At 38.9% G+C, this 17,929-nt stretch overlaps 1 protein-coding gene across 38 annotated transcripts in view, besides 1 other annotated feature; it reads left to right on the top strand.

Moving 5' to 3' along the window:
• Positions 1-17,929, top strand: part of PEX5L (peroxisomal biogenesis factor 5 like) — a 241,980-nt gene that overhangs the window by 149,379 nt on the left and 74,672 nt on the right. For 25 of the 38 annotated variants that reach the window (NR_146167.2, NM_001349401.2, NM_001256753.2 and 22 more), the window contains 3 exons: positions 7,436-7,630; positions 12,082-12,205; positions 13,136-13,232. Coding sequence is in view for 37 of the 38 variants with exons in the window: in NM_001256753.2 (NP_001243682.1) it covers positions 7,436-7,630; positions 12,082-12,205; positions 13,136-13,232 (416 nt within the window). In the remaining variant the exon portion in view is untranslated. The remainder of the gene's footprint in view (positions 1-7,435; positions 7,631-12,081; positions 12,206-13,135; positions 13,233-17,929) is intronic. The other 13 variants (NM_001349404.2, XM_047448299.1, NM_001349398.2 and 10 more) reach the window with 1 other exon arrangement.
• Positions 4,291-4,350: an enhancer, noted in NCBI's record as "active region_20872". NCBI's record gives its function as "activates an Ori minimal core promoter by ATAC-STARR-seq in GM12878 lymphoblastoid cells {active_cell/tissue: GM12878}" and the evidence as "EXISTENCE:reporter gene assay evidence [ECO:0000049][PMID:35858748]".

The following is a 17,929-nucleotide window of genomic DNA, read 5'->3' as shown; positions in this document are numbered from 1 at the left end:
AACTTTAGAATGTATACTATTTAGCATAAACCAATAAATCACAGAAATTGCAATGTATATTACCCAACCAATTTTGCAGAACATAAGTATACCACTATTAGCAATGAATCATGTTTTCATGTATATTTTCATATTTGCATATTTATATCTAAAGTCTCATCACATTAGAAAATCTTTAAAACAAAAACATCTCTTTCAGAGTAAGGTTTTCAAGTTCTGGCTGATGGTCCAATTATTTCTGGAAATATTTTGTATAACGGAAGTCCAGTAAATAAAAATGTGGCAACCTTTTCAAGTGGATTTAAATGACAAAATATCCTGCAGCTTTGGGATAGTATAGAGCCGGTTTCATTTTCTGTCATGTAAATGTGTTACTTGCTCCCCGTTACAACAATCTATTTGAATGTTCTCCTGGAATTAAACATTATCAAATAGTAAACCATCCCCTGCTCGGTGCCTGTCACATATAGGAATCGGCACTCAATAAGTATTAATCCAATGAGTGAGTACAGGATGCCACTGGCATAAATTACACTTCCCTTGTAGAGGCAGTCTTTCTGCATTGATTTCATTTGGTCAGCATTCACATTCAAAGTCATGTCATTCAAATAAGAATGAAAAAATGATGTTCAGAATCAAAGAACAAAGGTTATGTTGGATGTGCAGAGCGGAATTTAATGGAAAAAGAAAAGGATAATCACATACTGTCTTGTTAAATTTGTTCCATTTTGTCATCTTGGCCTCAGTTTGCTGTTGGCTTGCATATTTTCATTATATTTCTAAGTGAATAAAATCACAGGAGAAGGAAATCGTGATTTTTCCAAAATGCCAAAAATTACAAGAAGAGTAACTAGCATGAGATAGACAGGCTTGTTATGTGAGGTCATATTTTACAGTTTCTGGGTTCAAACTCCATGAATTCCAACCCCAGCTCTGTATCCAGGGGCATGTTGCTTAACTAAGCCTCAGTTTCTTCATTTGTCTGATAATAGTAAGATCTACATCTCGTAAGTTCATTGGAAAGATTAAAGGAAGCAATCCATGAAAAAGCTTAACACCATGTAAACTCTAACTGGTGTAAAAATTTCTGTTAGATTTTAGGTGAGAACAATATGTATTCCCTACACTTTCATTTTCAATTGCGTTGACTTTTTTATATCACACCACAGCAATCATTTTCTAAATTCAGCTCTCACTTTCAGTAATCAAGAAATTAAATGGTACTTGGCAAATTCTAGGTAGGAAATTAAACAAGTTCACATACTATCAGATGAGGTTCATTCCTCTGATCCGTGAAACAAGAGCTGGCCCCTTCAAAACTCGAGAACTACCCCAGGAAAATACAGATAACCTTGTATGTCCAATTGCAGGTGAATCAGTGAGAATTGTATGCACTGCAAACTTCCTCTTCATGCTCCAATTCTCACTGATGGGAAAACTAAGTCACTTAGAAAGGATCCACCCTGAGAGAGCAATATAAGATTTGATTCAAAAGCTTCTTTTCAGCTTGATTGTTCTAACATATGGAAGAGAGACCTGTGAAATACTGTAGGAAAAAAATCAAAAGAATGTGTAATTTCTTGCAATCCCAATATCTACAATGTTGCCCTCTGTATTAGTCCTAGGGCTGCTGTGACAAAGTACCACCCACTGAGTTGATTCAACAATGGAAACTTACCATCTCAGTTCTGAGGGCTAGAAGCCCAAAATCATGCTTTCAGGTGGGCCATGCACCCCATGAACGTGCTTAGTGAGGATCTATTCCAGGCCTCTCTTCTAATTTCTGGTACTGCCTTGGTTTATGGCAGCATAACTCCAATATTCATGTGGTGTTTTCTCTGCATGTGTGCTTCCCAGTGTGCATGTCTGTCTCTGTGTCCAAATTTCCACCCCCCGCTTTTTTTTTTTTTTCTGAGACGGAGTCTCGCTCTGTCACCCAGGCTGGAGTGCAGTGGCACGATCTCGGCTCACTGCAACCTCCGCCTCCTGGGTTCAAGCGATTTTCTTGCATCAGCCTCCCAAGTAGCTGGGACTATAGGCACCTGCCACCACGACTGGCTGATTTTTTGTATCTTTAGTAGAGACAGGGTTTCACTGTGTTAGCCAGGATGGTCTCAATCTCCTGACCTTGTGATCTGCCCACTTTGGCCTCCCAAGGTGCTGGAATTACAGGCGTGAACCACCGCGCCTGGCCCAAATTTCCCCTTTTTATAAGGACACCAGTCCTATTAAAGTAGGGGCCCACCCTATTCTAATATGACCTCATGTTTAATTATATCTCGAATGAAACTGTTTCCAAATAAGGTAATATTCTGAGTACTCAGTGTTAGGACTTCTACATAGACCACTCAATCCATAATACTCTCCAACGTAGGGGGTCTGGAAAAATAGTGTTCTGAGACTGGGGATTTATTTTTTCCCACCTCCATTATTCAGTGCACCTGGTTCACACAGATTTTTATCCTGAAGAAAGACTCTTATTTGATAAGTGTTTTTAATATTAAGCGTATATCTCAAGGCAAAAATATTATATATTTTTAATTCGTAAGAAATCTAGTTTTTATATAAATCAATACAAAATAAAAAAAATTTAGGAAATATTTACCTCTTCTGGAGGTCGGTCAGTGATTTTTTTTCTCTATGAACCCTAAAAGAACGTATCTTTTGCCTCATAGAAGTTCTAAATTATAATTTTTTTCCACCCAGTTCTATTAGATTATCTGAAGAACAAAAGTTTTTGAGACTGCCAACTATTTAAATCATTCCTTGGACTATCCAAACTGCCAAATAATTAGAAGCTAAACAAACAAATGAATCAAAGCCTTATCAATAAAGTCAGCACCCTGCCTTAAGGTTTAGATAAAGTCTAGAGAGGACTGTGCAAGAACACAGGCTATGGAGAGATGAGACCTGTATCCTGTATTTGAATCCTGGTGTAAACACTGACATACCAGTTATATTAGTTTTCTATTGTCACCGTAACAATTACCACAAATCTAATGGCTTAAAACAACACAAATTTATTATCCTAAAATCAAGATGTCAATAGAACTACATTACTTCTGGAGGCTCCAGGACAGAATTCACTTCCTTGCTTTTTCCAGCTTCTAGAGGGCACCTACAATTTGGTGGCTTATGACTCCTTGCTCCATCTTCAAAAGCAGCAGCTCTCTCTCTCACATTGGTCTCCATGTCCTTCTCTGGCTCTGACCCCCCTAACTGCACTTTATAAGAGCTCTTGTGATTACATTGGGCCCACAGGGATCATCCAGATTAATCTTTCAGTCTCCAAATCCTTAATTACATCTGCAAAGTCCCTTTTGCCATGTGACATGTCAAGGTAACATATTTACAGGTTCTGGGGATTAGAATGTGGCCATATTAGAGGGGGGCGTTTTTCTACCACACCAGCTGTGTGATTTTGGACAAGTTACTTAATATTGCCAAGCCTCAAGTTTCTCATATGTAAAATTAGAATACCTTTTTCACAGAAATGTTATGTAGACTAAGTAAGGAAACACTCATAAGCACTTACCATATTGTATATTTTCAATAAATAGTTTTTGTAATCATTTCCAACCTCATATATCTACAGTTTGTGTCAAGCATGAATGCTTTCAGTAGAATCTTCTAGTAGCGATAAATATTTATTTGCATCATGACTATGCTTATAGTGCTGTTCCAAGAGCTGTAGATAAGCACTTCATCCAATACTTTATAGTTTTATCCTTATTTTAGTGGGCAGAGTTAAGGTTCAGAGAGACATTTTTTTTTGAGACGGAGTTTTGCTCTTGTTGCCCAAGCTGGAGTGCAATGGCATGATCTTGGCTCACCGCAACCTCCGCCTCCCAGGGTCAAGCAATTTCTCCTGCCTCAGCCTCCAGAGTAGCTGAGATTACAGGCATGTGCCACCACGCCCGGCTAATTTTGTATTTTTAGTAGAGACGGGGTTTCTCCATTTTGGTCAGGCTGGCCTTGAACTCCCGACCTCAGGTGATCCGCCTGCCTCAGCCTCCCAAAGTGCTGGGATTACAGGCATGAGCCACTGCACTCAGTCAAACTCAGACAGTCTTAACCACTGTCCTGTGCTGCCTTATTTTATGCACAATATTCACGGAACATCAGGACACCAAAATAGATTAGCTGAACTAAAGTGAAGAAGACAGGACAAAGTGCTACAAGGGTGACTGGCAAAACATAGCCTGCTCAGAAGCAACTGAGCTGGAAATCCCCCTGCTACAGCAAATAGAAGTGAAGTCAGCGACATCCTCTGGGCAGTGGGATCCCACAGCCTATGAAGCTGTGAGTGGTGACTGACATGTGGTCCATGAGAAAAGTCTGCATATGTGACAATAAGATTACACCCTGAAGGTATTTTATTAGATCTACACTATCACACGCATACACACACATGTGCATACACACACGCACACACTTTTCACGTTCATTGTAAGAGGAGATTATCCTTTGTTCCTTTGTGCTCCTTTTTTTTAGAGACAGGGTCTTACTCTGTCACCCAGGCTGGCTCAAACTTCTGGGCTAAAGCAGTCCTCCCACCTAGTCTCCCGAGTAGCTGAGACTACAGGTGATAGCCATCACTCCTGGCTAATTTTTTTTAATTTTTTTAATTGTTTTGTAGTGACTGAATCTTGTTATATTGCCTAGGCTGGTCTCAAACTCCTGGCTTCGAGCGATCCTCCTGCCTTGGCCTCCCAAAGCACTGGGATTACAAACATGAGCCAACACACCTCACCGGTTGGTGCTCTTAATTTAAGCACACAGATACTGAAACCCAAAACTTCATGTGCCTGAAGGATCTTTAAAATAGGATTTAAGAAATCAGCAGAGCAGACACCACCTACCATACCAGGGCTGTCTTTGTGTGGAGCAATAAGATTCTTACTTTTAAATCTTAGCTAAAGGACACACACATGCTAAAATGTGATTTGTCTTTCTCCAGAGAGTGAAAGGCTACACCCACCCTTCTCTCCTTTTGAAAACGTACTCTGCAGGGACTTTCCCAGCTTCAAAGCTGGCCATTCGACCTCCAAGCCACCTCCTTCATCAGCTGGGTAACCAATTAGGCTTTCTGTGTGTGCCAAGCATTTGTTTCACATTTGCAAGAAAAAGAACAAAGGGACAAAGAGCTCAGAACAAATACAGGAATTGCCCAGGACACTTTGGAGGGGGAAAGAACCTTACTGAGCCAAGTTTGAATTCACAGTTCACCCTTTTAGTAATTCATTTATTCTGAATGTGAGAAGAAGATATAGAATTAAATTAGTACTTGCCAGCTGTTATTCCATAACAAATGTACTTCCTATGTTCAAGTAGACAATTTTATAATTTGCTTCTAAAAGTCTAGGAGCAAGTGACTAACTCTTAATTGTTTGTACAATTAGTAAAAAGATGTATATGGCATTCTATATTATGCCATCAATTTCCTTTCCTCCATTATAAGGACATCACATTGGGCCTAGACTCCTTGCCAACATAATAGTGGTCTGGAAATTTCTATTTGACCATTCAGTGGATATAAAATGTGAGGCATTCTAGCCTATTTTGGCTGTCTGCCATGCTTACATTTTAGACATAAAGCCAGGCAGCTTAGTTCTGAATGTCACTTCTTTCCCTCCACGTTCAAGTACTTCCTAGCCCCAAAACATCCCTCGTATCTCAGGGCATCTTAGCATTGGGAAGTGGTTCCTATTGCCTCAGGAAGATTCTGTTGAGATAAGCTGACACTTTCAGGCCACTTTATGATAAATTTACTTCATAGGATCCTCTGTAGAACCAATATCTTTGTCTCATCTTCAGTTTTATTCCCAGTAGCATTTTCTCTTTCTGTCAGTGTATGGATCTGATTCTTGTCTCAAATAAAAAGGAGCAGTGAAAATAGGAGAACATCAACAACAACAACAAAAAGGATAGAAAAAATCACAAATTGGCTGTAAAAGAATGGAAATCACATTTATTGAGTACCTATTGTATGCCTGGCACTTTACATACATTAGATCATTTAATCCTCATCTTATCCCTAAAAGACAATTAATTCCCCATTTTCAAATGAGGAAACTGAAACTCAGAGAGATCAAGAAACTTACTTCAAGTCACACACTAAGCCGTGACAGAGCCAGATGTTTCCACTTCACCAACAACATCCAACCACTGTGACTTGGAATTGGAATCAGAAAGCAAGATTATTAAGAGTAAAGTTTGACACACCATCCTAAAGATCCCATAGGAATGGTTAACTCATGAAGCCCATGCACTACTAAAGAAATCCAGGTTGTGAGTTCAATGGAGCCCGGCCCCTGCCTTGAGTACAAGGGAGAAGCAGACAGAAGAGTATTGAGACATCAGCAAAAATCCATCCCCCACCTAGAGGAAAAGCTTGGAGATTAAAGAGGAGTGCTGCAGTCATTGTTGTAGACTGCCACAAAGGGTTAATGCAAGTGGTTTCTTTGTCTTTCTGTGGCTTTCCTACGTGAGCTGGGTGAAGAGATTCCAGGCCAGGGAGCCACCGATCTTGCTCAGAAGCTAGTCTCTCCAGTGCAGTGCCAGGGCCAGTGAAACAGCAGGGACTGGTGGAAAGGTAGAGCTGTAGGGACCTTCTCCAATTTGAATTTTCTATCTCTCACAATGAGCTAGTCAAACACTGGTTACGTGCACTGTAAAAGAAGGAAGAAGCTAAGGTTATAAAACTTGCTTTTTTAATTCTCATTTGCCTTATTTGCATTTGAACAAGTTATTATTTCTGCTTTCATTAGAGTATTTAATGCAATGTAATCAACCTGCTAGGAAGTAAAAGTGTAACAGTTTTATAGTTAGTTACATTGAAATTCAAATTTGCATACTAAACAGCAAAGGCATTAACATGTGTACCTATTCATCAACTATGGATTATAAAATACCTCTCTTGGGTGAACCCAAACAGGATGCCATTTTCTGATTGAACTGCTTAATTAAATAAAAGATGATTAACAGCATTGCTTTATACCCCATATACTTTATTGTTTAAAATTAAAACACAAAGACATTCAAAACCTTCACTAAATCTCTGAATATGGTAGATTGACTCCTCTCTGGGAAATTGCAATCTAAAATAACCTTCAGTATAAATAAAGCAAAGCAATAAAGTAAATAGCACCTGAACTCAGATTCAGTTTGATCATTTTAATTTCATTCAAAGCTTCATCATTGCTGAGGCTGGTCTAAGTCCTTTCTTACCAATTTGTGCCATACCAACTATAAGAATAACATGCAGCAAACATCCCAGTCTAACAAGCTGTCTCTATAAATCAATGATGAGCTAACGTAATTTTATTCTAACCTATCCTACAAACATAAAATCTTTCTGTACCCAACTGAAACCTATTTTAAATAATTTCAGAGTAGTAAATGGGCTTATCTTAACCTCTTCCATTTCTGGTAGTATTGACCACTGGCTTAGATCTCCTCGACCTGAGTGAACCAGTCTCTCAAACCCAAACCAAAGCCAAGAAGTCAGAGCCCTCATCAAAAACCTCATCCCTCAAGAAAAAGGCCGATGGATCTGACCTCATCAGCACGGATGCTGAGCAGAGAGGCCAGCCTCTCAGAGTCCCGGAGACTTCATCCTTAGATCTAGGTAAGGCAATCGCTTGCGGCTATGGATGCTCAACCTTGCTCTGCTGATGTGGATACAAGAGGAAATTTCCACCAATGGCATTAAACAGAGAACAAAGGAGTAGAAAAGGCATTCCATGGTGGAAACTGGACAGGACATAGCTTCTTTTGAGCTTGAACTGTACAGCAATTGGGGAGCTCAACTTTGCATAACTGATTGATTCATTTATTTATTCGACCCACAAATATTGAGTTATAGATAGGTGCTGGGTGCCAGGTTAGGCACTAAAGTTACAAATAAAGATAAAATGTGCATCTTGCTCTGTAGGAGCACTCAGTCCAGGATGAGAAAGAGGGACTTGTGAGTAACGAACTCTAATGCAAGGCCCAGGGGCAGCCAGATGAAACAGTATGTCACAAACGTGTTTGGGAATACATGCCATACAATAATAACAGCTACCATTTGATGGTGGGTTACAATGCCTAGGAACCACAGTACATTACTTACATATATTATCTCATTAAATTATCACAACTCTTTGAAACATCTGAGGAACCAAGTTTCAAAATTTAAGCAATTTGCCCAAGATCTCACAGTTTATAAGAAGAACAGTTGAAATTTGAGCCTAGTTCTAGTCAACCTCAAAGCCCATATGTTTTCCACTGTATTCTACCTCCTCTGAGAAAGGACAGCTTAATTCTCAGCTCCTGGAATCAGACACATTAAGCTCTCCTTTCTCAAGAGAAAGAACAGTGACAGGTATCTTAGAAAGCCAAGAGGAACATGAATCTTCCCTGGCTGTGACTGACTGCTGTGTGTGTATGTATATGTGTGGGGAGGTGAATATTGTATATACATTCATAAGGAGATCATATTCATAGCTTATCCATAAGGCTGTGAGGAATAAATGGGAATATATGAAATCACTTATTATTATGATATGTACATGTTAAATGGTCATGAATTAATTTATTCATTTGTTCAGCAAACATTTCTCTGAGTATCTACCATATTCCCAGCACAAACTATGTGCTAGGAATACAAAGATAAATAATATAAGCTCTCTGTGCCTTAGCAAATTTACAGTCTAGTAGGGAGATAGAAAAATGATTAAATGATTATAATAAAATATTAACTATATGTAGCAATGAAAGAAAACCCACATCAGTTACTACATGAGCCTCCACATCATGCCATTGCTCCAGCCAGTGGGAGAAGGTGTCTTACAAGAGGTACTATGTGAGCTGAGGTTTGAGGAATGCATAGGAATTTGCCAGATTCAAGATAGATCAGGAGAAAGGTGGGGAGAACAGAGCAGGGTATCCCTGGTGCAGAAAGGAAAGGTATTCACACACAAATAGATAAACATGGAAAGATGTCTTTTTAAGTAAATATACGTATTTCAGTAGTACTCAAGGATGGTAGAATAGTGAGAGAAAAAGACTGAAAATCACTAGTGGTGAGATCATAGGAATCCTTGGATGTCATGCACTGAAGACTGGGGGAGGAGAGATGATGTTTGAAGGGTTCTGCTAAGAGGAATGACAGCAACAGTTCCTATTTTAGAAAAATCCTTCTCTGGTGGATTTATTGAGAAAGGAATAGAGGCAAGGAGACCAGTACAGAGATCCAATAGTGACAAGGGGGATAATGAGAAAGAGAGAGACAGGTTCCAAAAAATATTAAAACAAGACTTGGAAACAAAGATAATATGTATACGTGAGCAATGGGGACATGTAGAACATGCCAAGCTCCATGATAGAAGATGGAAGAGGGGCAGGAGTGAACTATTGAGTTCAGCTTTGAACCTGCTATATTTGAGGAAACTATGGGACTTCTCTGTGGATACCTCCATTAGACTGTTAAGTATATAGGTCTAGAACTGGAGAAAAAGAACTGAGTAGGAAATGGAGATTTGTAAGTCAGAAGCCTGTGTGTGAATGGATATTGGAACCATGGGTGTAGATGAGCTCTTCCAGGGATAGATTGTAAAGAAAGGAAAGAGAACCAAGCCATTGTTCAAACTAGTGGCATACACAGGAACGCCTCTCCCCTGCCATCCCTCTTTGAGGTCTGTCTTTGGAGGGAAATTTTATAACTATCTCTACTATTTCCTCACTATCTAGGTTTATTCAGTTGTACAAATAAGTTAATAACATTTATAGATTTAGATTAAAATATATTAATACATTGATTGGGTGCAGTGGCTCATATCTGTAATCCCAGCACTTTGGAAGGCTGAGGCAGGAGGAGTGCTTGAGGCCAGGAGTTTGAGACCAGCTTGGACAACATAGTGAGATCCCATCTCTACAAAATTTTAAAAATTAGCCTGGCATAGTGGCATAAGCCTGTAGTCCCAGCTACTTGGGAGGCTGAGGCAGGAGGATTGCTTAAGCCCAAGAGATTGAGGCTGCAGTGAGCTGTGACTGCACCATAGCACTTCAGCCTGGGCAACAGAGTGAGACCTTGTCTTAAAAAAAAGAATATATTAATATATTACAATATAACACAATAAGCATGCAAATGATGAACATTTATTTCTCTGCTTCTGAGAAAATGTCCTATGAAAAGGTTGTAAAAGTACTTAGTTTAAAAGCACCTTTAAGAATAGCAGTGTTATTCACAATAGTACAAAGGTGAAAACAACTGAAACCCATCATGAGATGAATGGATAAACACAATGTGGTATATACAGACAATGAACTTATTCAGCCTTGGAAAGGAATAACTTACATGCTACAACATGGATGAACCTTGAAGATATTGTGCTAAGTGAAGTAAACCAGGCACAAAAGGACAAATACAGGTTGAGCATCCCTAATTCGAAAATCTGAAATCTTCCAAAATCTGTAAGTGGAAAATTCCACACTTGACTTCATGTGATAAGTCACAGTCAGAACTTTGTTTCATGCATAAGATTATTTAAAATACTTTATAAAATTACCTTCAGGCTATGTGTGTAAGGTGTGTATGAAACATAATTGAATTTCGTGTTTAAATTTGAGTCCCAGCCCCAAGATATCTCATTATGACACATGCAAATATTCCAAAAACCAAGAAAAAAAATCCCAAATTTGAAACACTCCTGGTCCCAAGCATTTTGCATAAGGAATAATCAACCTGGATTGGAGGATTCCACTTGTATGAGGTACCTACAATAGTCAACTTCATATAGACAGAAAGTAGAATAAAAGTTACCAGGGTTTGTGGGGGAGGGGGAATGAGGAGTTCGTGTTTAATGAGTAGAGTTTCAGTTTGAAATGATGAGAAATTTTGGAGATGAATAGTGGTGATGGTCACACAGCAGTGCGACTGTACTAATGCTACTCAATTATACACTAAAATATGGTTTAAGTGGTCAATTTGTTATGTATTTTTTACCACAGTTTTTAAAAAGAAGGGGAAAAAAGACCTTAGAGAACATCTACTGCAAACTGATCTTTTTTTTTTTTTTAGACAGAGTTTTGATCTATTGCCCAGGCTGGAGTGCAGAGGCGCAATCTGGGCCCACTGCAACCTCCACCTCCCAGGATCAAGCAATTCTCCTGCTTCAGCCTCCCAAGTAGCTGGGATTACAGGCATGCACCACCACACCCCATTCATTTTTTTTTTTTATTTAGTAGAAACAGGGTTTCACCATGTTGGTCAGGCTGGTGTCGAACTGCTGACCTCAGGTGATCCACCCGCCTCTGCCTCCCAATGTGCTGGGATTATAGGCGTGAGCCACCACCACCTGGCCCGATCTTTTTATAAACTAAAAAACTGAACCCCAAGATTGTTTCAGTGGTTTATTCACAGCCACACACCTGTTAATGAGAGAATCCAGCCAGATTTTTTATCTGTAAGAACTAAGCCACAGGGATAAAATGGTTCCAGCATTCCCTTGGCTGTCCTCATTGCCTCCTTTCTCTCTCTCCCCCATTATAAATTCTCTCCTTTTGGTGAAAAATTACATGCTTTATTCAAAAGCTATGAAAGTTTTCTGATTTATTCCCACCTCCTTTTAACACTGAAGCTCATCTTTTTAAACAGAATTTCTTTCCAGAATCATGCCAGCAAAGCCCCCAAGCCCCCACTTTAGCCAGAGACTGATAGAGTAGTGCTCCAGATGTACATTCTACACCAGATCGCACAGGCTTATATACAAGATTCAGAATGTACACAGATTCAAAAATAAATTCAGGTCAAACAACTTGATTGCTTTAACTGTAAAAGCAATGCAATTTATCTTAACAGGAGATTTCTATTTAGCTGCACAAGTTTTAATTTGTATGCAACATTGGAAAGATAAAGGTTGATCTTGGGGCTTGGGAACATTGGTTCAATGAAGCTCCCTTGGATAAGATTTTTCAATCTTAATTAATCTTTTTCCCTCTGCACCACACGCTCCACCCTCACCCCACTCCCCGCCACCGCTCCCCCTACCCCGCCCTGCCGCCACCTGCCTCACCTGCTTCCTCTGTACTTACTAGACATTCAAACACAACTGGAAAAATGGGACGATGTTAAGTTTCATGGAGATCGAAATACCAAGGGACATCCAATGGCAGAGAGAAAATCATCCTCATCTAGAACTGGATCAAAAGAGCTCTTATGGTAAGGTATTTTAATACCAGAAAACGGCCATTTATGTATCAACTTTATGAGTGGCACTGAAATAGCCAAAGAGTTAAGTCAATCCAAATACTTGGCATCACATGTAACCCCTATATAACAATACCAATTATTGTGGCTTCTACCAACTCAAATTATTTCATTTCAACTGTCAAAAATCAATGCAACTCAGTCTCAGTCAATAAGCATTTTGAGAGATTCTTAAATCAACATTGTTAATAATGTTCTGAATGTGTAACTGTGCTAATTAGTAAAAATAGGTGTATACGTGTATATACATGATAATATTCAATATATTAAATAATAGTTAAATTTTTGCAGCTATACAGGTACCTTTTTTGGTTTGCTCCATCATCCACTATCAGATAATCAAATAATTAAGAATAATGCATTGATGCTTATGAGAAAATCTGGCCACCTGAGTTGTACCATATTTTTGAAGCTTCCTAAAGGGCAGTGTCTGGCTTCCGTCTCCTACTGCCCTGCCACATCTCCACTTATCATGACATTGCAAATTCTATATAAAGATAAAATCTCTCCTGAGACACTTTTTGGGAAGTTTCTTCCCCTACCAAAAAAAAAAAAAAAAAAAAAAAACAAAAAAAAAAACCATAATTTTTTTATGAAACAGAATTTTCTGTAACAAAAATGGTACTGCATTTATTTACTTTTTGCCCATAATCGAACTGAATTTTTAATCGAAGATAATAACACCTAGCACACTGTAGCCTCTTACATTCTGAAAGTGACCATTATAATAGAAATACATGAAACTTATCTCTATCATCAGAATTTTGATGAGAGCTTTGACATCATGGCTTTCAATGATCCAAATTACCTAGTTTCTTGGCTGGATTTATAGCTTAATTTGTTTCTAGTGTACGTTTAATTTCCTTAATGCATCCCTTATAGGTCCTCAGAACACAGATCTCAACCAGAACTGAGTGGTGGAAAAAGCGCCCTCAACTCTGAGTCGGCTTCAGAATTGGAATTAGTGGCTCCGACTCAGGTAACAAAACTGATTATTCAATGAACACATCTTTCCCTATATATAGTGTATAGCATAAATGCTTTATTTTCATTTTGTACAAAAAGTTTGAAGTATTTTTTGTACATTGCGTTTCATGTGCTGTTTCATTCAGTAGCTATCTCAATACTTAAAATAGCTGAAATATAGGTGTGTGTGTATATATATATATATATGTATATCTACACATTTGGCTGGAAAATGTGTTAATGAATTCACTGTGTACTTAGCACTTTTTCCTTGTTCTACCATTTACTGTTCTATTATTTTGTAATACAAAATCTGTTCTACTCTATTATTAGCACTATTTACATAACAGAACTCGATGGAGAGGAAATTGCATCTTGAGTGTTCATTCACACCTATGCCCTGTGGAATATACTACACATTGGTACCCTGACTGTCACATTAAAATAAATGTCATGCTGAGAAATATATTATTATAGTATTAGGAGTCATGATGATGACAATAAGAGCTACTATTTATGAGTGCTACTAAGTATCAGGGACTTCACGTATGTTTTTTAAGTGTTATATATAAAATACTCAAATAATCCTGTGAATTATTATTAACCTCACTTTAAAGATACTCTTTAGTCTCAGTGACGTCAAGCACATTTTCCTGGGACACTCAGCTAAATCACTGGTGGAAGTAGGGTGTGAACCAGGTCTGTCTGTCCATTACTTGAACCTTAAGTCCAGTTTAACTAGCTGTTTTATAACTAGTTATCTCCTATGATTAAGACCATATCTCCTATGGTTCTAAGAAGGCCAAAGTCAGTCTCAATCTTTTCATTCCCTTGAACGCTTTTAAAGGCCTTGATCTAAAACCACGAAGATATCATAAGTTGTGTGCATCCAAATTCATGCATTCTACAATCTAGTTGAGATGAGATTCAGTGTTTAAGGAAAATAAGTGTGATAAAATAAGCAAGAGAAATTTTCCTGAGCTTACTAGATGTTGAAACCAAGAGGAAATATACTATCTGAGGTGAAATAAACAAATAATTATAATAATAGCAGATATTACTGAGTGCTATAAGGACTTCTTACATATTAGCTCATTTTTTTCTGTTAAATCACTCGATCAGGTAAGTCCAATTTTATAGACAGTGAAACTAAGTTACAGTGAGCTGAAGAAACTTGTCCGCGGACCCACAACTAGTAAGTGGCAGAGAGAGGTAGGACACAGACAGAGAAGAAATCTTCAGCAAATAGAAAGCCTCTGGAAACTTTTCTAAGCCACCAGCAGCGCCCCCTACAAACACCTGACCCTCCACAAGAGAGGACGATTACTGCTCCCAGATCTTAGCTGGGAAACAAGTCCACTAACTTCCTGAATAAATAGCCCTGCAAACCTCAAAGAATTGTAAATGTAGCATGAAAATGTAGTTTTTTCCTTGGTGCTCACTCTAAATGTATTTTTAAAAGGAAATTTATAGCACTTACTATATCAGAAAAATATTTCATGATAAGTACAGTAGAGATTTAGGCTCAGCTAAAGTGATTGGTACTGTTTCATAAACTGGAATTCTTGGAACAATTTAATGTAGCAATAAAACGTTTGTTTCTAAAGCAGGTGAGACTTGGCACAGGTGGGCTGTTCTACAAGGAGCTGAGGTGGAAGATCAGCTGGTGTCCCTGGTTGCCATAGAGACCCAGGATGCATTTATGTTATTCCAGTGACTGCAACTCTCCTGCTGGTTGTCTGATTTCGTCCCACCAAACTGTCCTTCCTCTTACCCATCAGTACACCTTACTTTAAACAAAGACAAAATACTTTAGAAAATTTTCTATATTGTCTCCAAAACATAGTTTAAAATGCACCTGAGAGTTTTCTATCTGGACAAATCTTAATGAATCCTTTTAGAGAGTTATCAATTATTTGTAAAGAATTTACTCTTATTTGTTTTTTTAAAAACATTGCATGTTCACTTATGCAGATTTGCCTAAACTAAGGAAATTCATAATCTCCTAGTTTTAATTTCAGCCTATGGTTAAATTAGGAAAATTTCATGAATTTGGGACTTAATAGATCTGAAACACCAAGTCACTCAAACAGCAAGAGAATAACCTGATCAATCTACCTGTAATAAAAGACAAAAAGATGTTAAAAGAAAAATCTGGCTGAGCACAGTGGCTCACGCCTGTAATCCCAACACTTTGGTAGGCCGAGGCAGTAGATCACTTGAGCCCAGGAGTTTGAGATCAGCCTGGGATACATAGCAAAACCCTGTCTCTACAAAAAACACAAAAATTAGCCAGGCATGATAGCACAAGCCTGTAGCCCAGCTCCTCAAGAGGCTGAGGTAGAAGGATGACTGTGCCTGGGAGGCAGAGGCTACAGTGAGCTAAGACTGAGCCACTGCACTCCAGCATGGGAGACAGAGCAACACCCTGTCTCAAAAAAAGAAAGAAAAGAAAAACGTTAGCCAAATTAAACTTAACAGAGTTACTGAGCAAAGAACAATTCACGAATCAGGCAGCCTGCTGAGCCAGAGTAGGCTCAGAAAGACTCCAGTGAAGCTACGGGGAGGAAGATTTACAGAAAGTAAAAGGAAAGTGATGTCTAGAAAACTGAAGTGAGGAACAGAAACAGCCATATTGGTTACAGCTTGGCATTTGCCTTATTTGAACACGATTTGAACAATTGCCCCCCTTTGATCAGCCACAACTGTGTGATTGGCACAGGAGTAGGTTACAGTTTGTTTACATCTCCATTTAGGTTATGGTTCACTATGTACAGAGAAATCTTTAGGCCGAACTTCAAATATGTAAGGAGTTGATTTAACAATATACTGTTAGAAGCATAAATAAATATTTTGTCTTTTAATCTATGAACAATTTATATAGATAAAATCATGAAGGTGGTATAAAAATTCACCTTAAAAGTATAACTCAGATGGGGCCAGGTGTGGTGGCTCACGCATGTAATCCCAGCATTCTGGGAGGCCAAGGTGGGTGGATTACTTAAGGTCAGGAGTTCGAAAGCAGCCTGGGTAACATGGTGAAACCCCATCTCTGCTAAAAATACAAAATTTAGCCAGGCCTGGTGGTGCATGCCTGTAGTCCCAGCTACGCAGGAGGCTGAGGCATGAAAATTGCTTGAACCTGGGAGGCAGAGGTTGCAGTGAGCCAAGATTGTGCTACTGCATTCCAGTCTGGGTGACAGAGCGAGACTCAGCCAAAAAAAAAAAAAAAAAAAAAAGTATAACTCAAATGGTTCACAGGAAAATCAAGGAGATGTTTTCTTCTCTCTCAAGCCAACATAAATTATATGAGGCAGTGACCCAACAGGTGAAGACCCATTTACAAAATTCCTTTAAAAATTGTATTTCAGAATCACAAAGAAAATGGAAGCTCACAATGTGAAGAACTAATGTTTTCAAATTTTCTTTATAAGATGAGGAAAAGGAAAACATAGTCTAGCCTCTTTCAAATAGTGTTTTGAATGCTGTAGGGATAAAAGGAACTTTCTTTCCACCTCTGGAAGTTTTGAGAATTTGAGTCTACAAAACAAACTGGTTAACAGGAGGAAAGGCATGCAAACGGATTGATGTGGAAGCATGCGGAGAGTCACACAAAGTATGAAACTCAGGGAAGGCCCAGATGATTGGAGCCTAAATATCCTCTTCATAGAGGAGAGGGAAGTAGGGAATGATGGTACTCTTAGAGGAAGAGTAAATTATTTTTAGGGGAAATGAAGGGGCCTGAAGAACAGACAATAGCCTGGTAACTGTAATAGGTTCATCACCCAATGCAAGTCCGTTAGCCAAGACACCAAGTTGCAACAGAGAAAGAGGTTTGATCACAGTGTCACCCAACAAGGAGATGGGAGGAAACCTCAAATCCATCTCCCCGAGGAGTTTGGGGCTAGGGTTTTTAAGGGTCTTGGAGTGGGCAGAAGTGTAGAGATCACTAACTGGTTGAAGAGTGCAGAGTGAAGCTATAGGACAGAGAGATGAAGAAGCTGTGTTCTCATGCTGATCCCATTCATCTGTGGGGGTCTTCAAACTGGTTGCTGGAATTCAGGGTCTGAAAAATATCTTAATGATCCTTAAACAAAAGCCTTATGATTTGAATGTCAGAGATCCTGTCTGTAGGAACTATGAGGATATAAATTGTCAGTATCTACTGCTATGTGACTATTAGCCACAAGGAAGTGGGACAAAGCGCAGCCTTATTTATGCTTAATTATCACCATATTTCTGTCCAGAACCTGGCATGCAATTCTTGTCAACCCTGTGGGGGCAGTTTCAGCCTGGTAAAGTTCATCTGAGTCCCCTTCGATCAGCCAAAACTCCATGATTGGCACAACAGTAGGTTACAGTCTGTTTACGCTTCTATTTAGGTTATAGCTCACTATGTACAGAGAAATCTTTAGGCTGAACTTAAAATATGTAAGAAGTTGATTTATATAGATATCTATATATAACAAAAGCCATATTGGGAAGGCTGATCTTTACCATGTGTTATAATCCGTATTTCATTCTCAATCCTAAACCAGCAAGTCTGGGCACACTGCTAAATTGCAGAAAAGTTTCAGGATCTTTAACTGAGTTGGTGTGGTGTCAACTCTAGTGTTCCTTCCTGGGAGTTAATCTTTTCTAAGGAGATTGCATTTCTTCTGGGAACTTCAGAGAAAGTCCCTACCTGTGCTTCAGGGGAGGCAGAGGGGC

Source organism: Homo sapiens, chromosome 3, assembly GCF_000001405.40.
Source record: "Homo sapiens chromosome 3, GRCh38.p14 Primary Assembly".
Classification (NCBI taxonomy): Eukaryota; Metazoa; Chordata; class Mammalia; order Primates; family Hominidae; genus Homo; species Homo sapiens.
The sequence above is the reverse complement of the archived record's forward strand: the minus strand, read 5'-3'. Positions and strand labels throughout refer to the sequence as shown.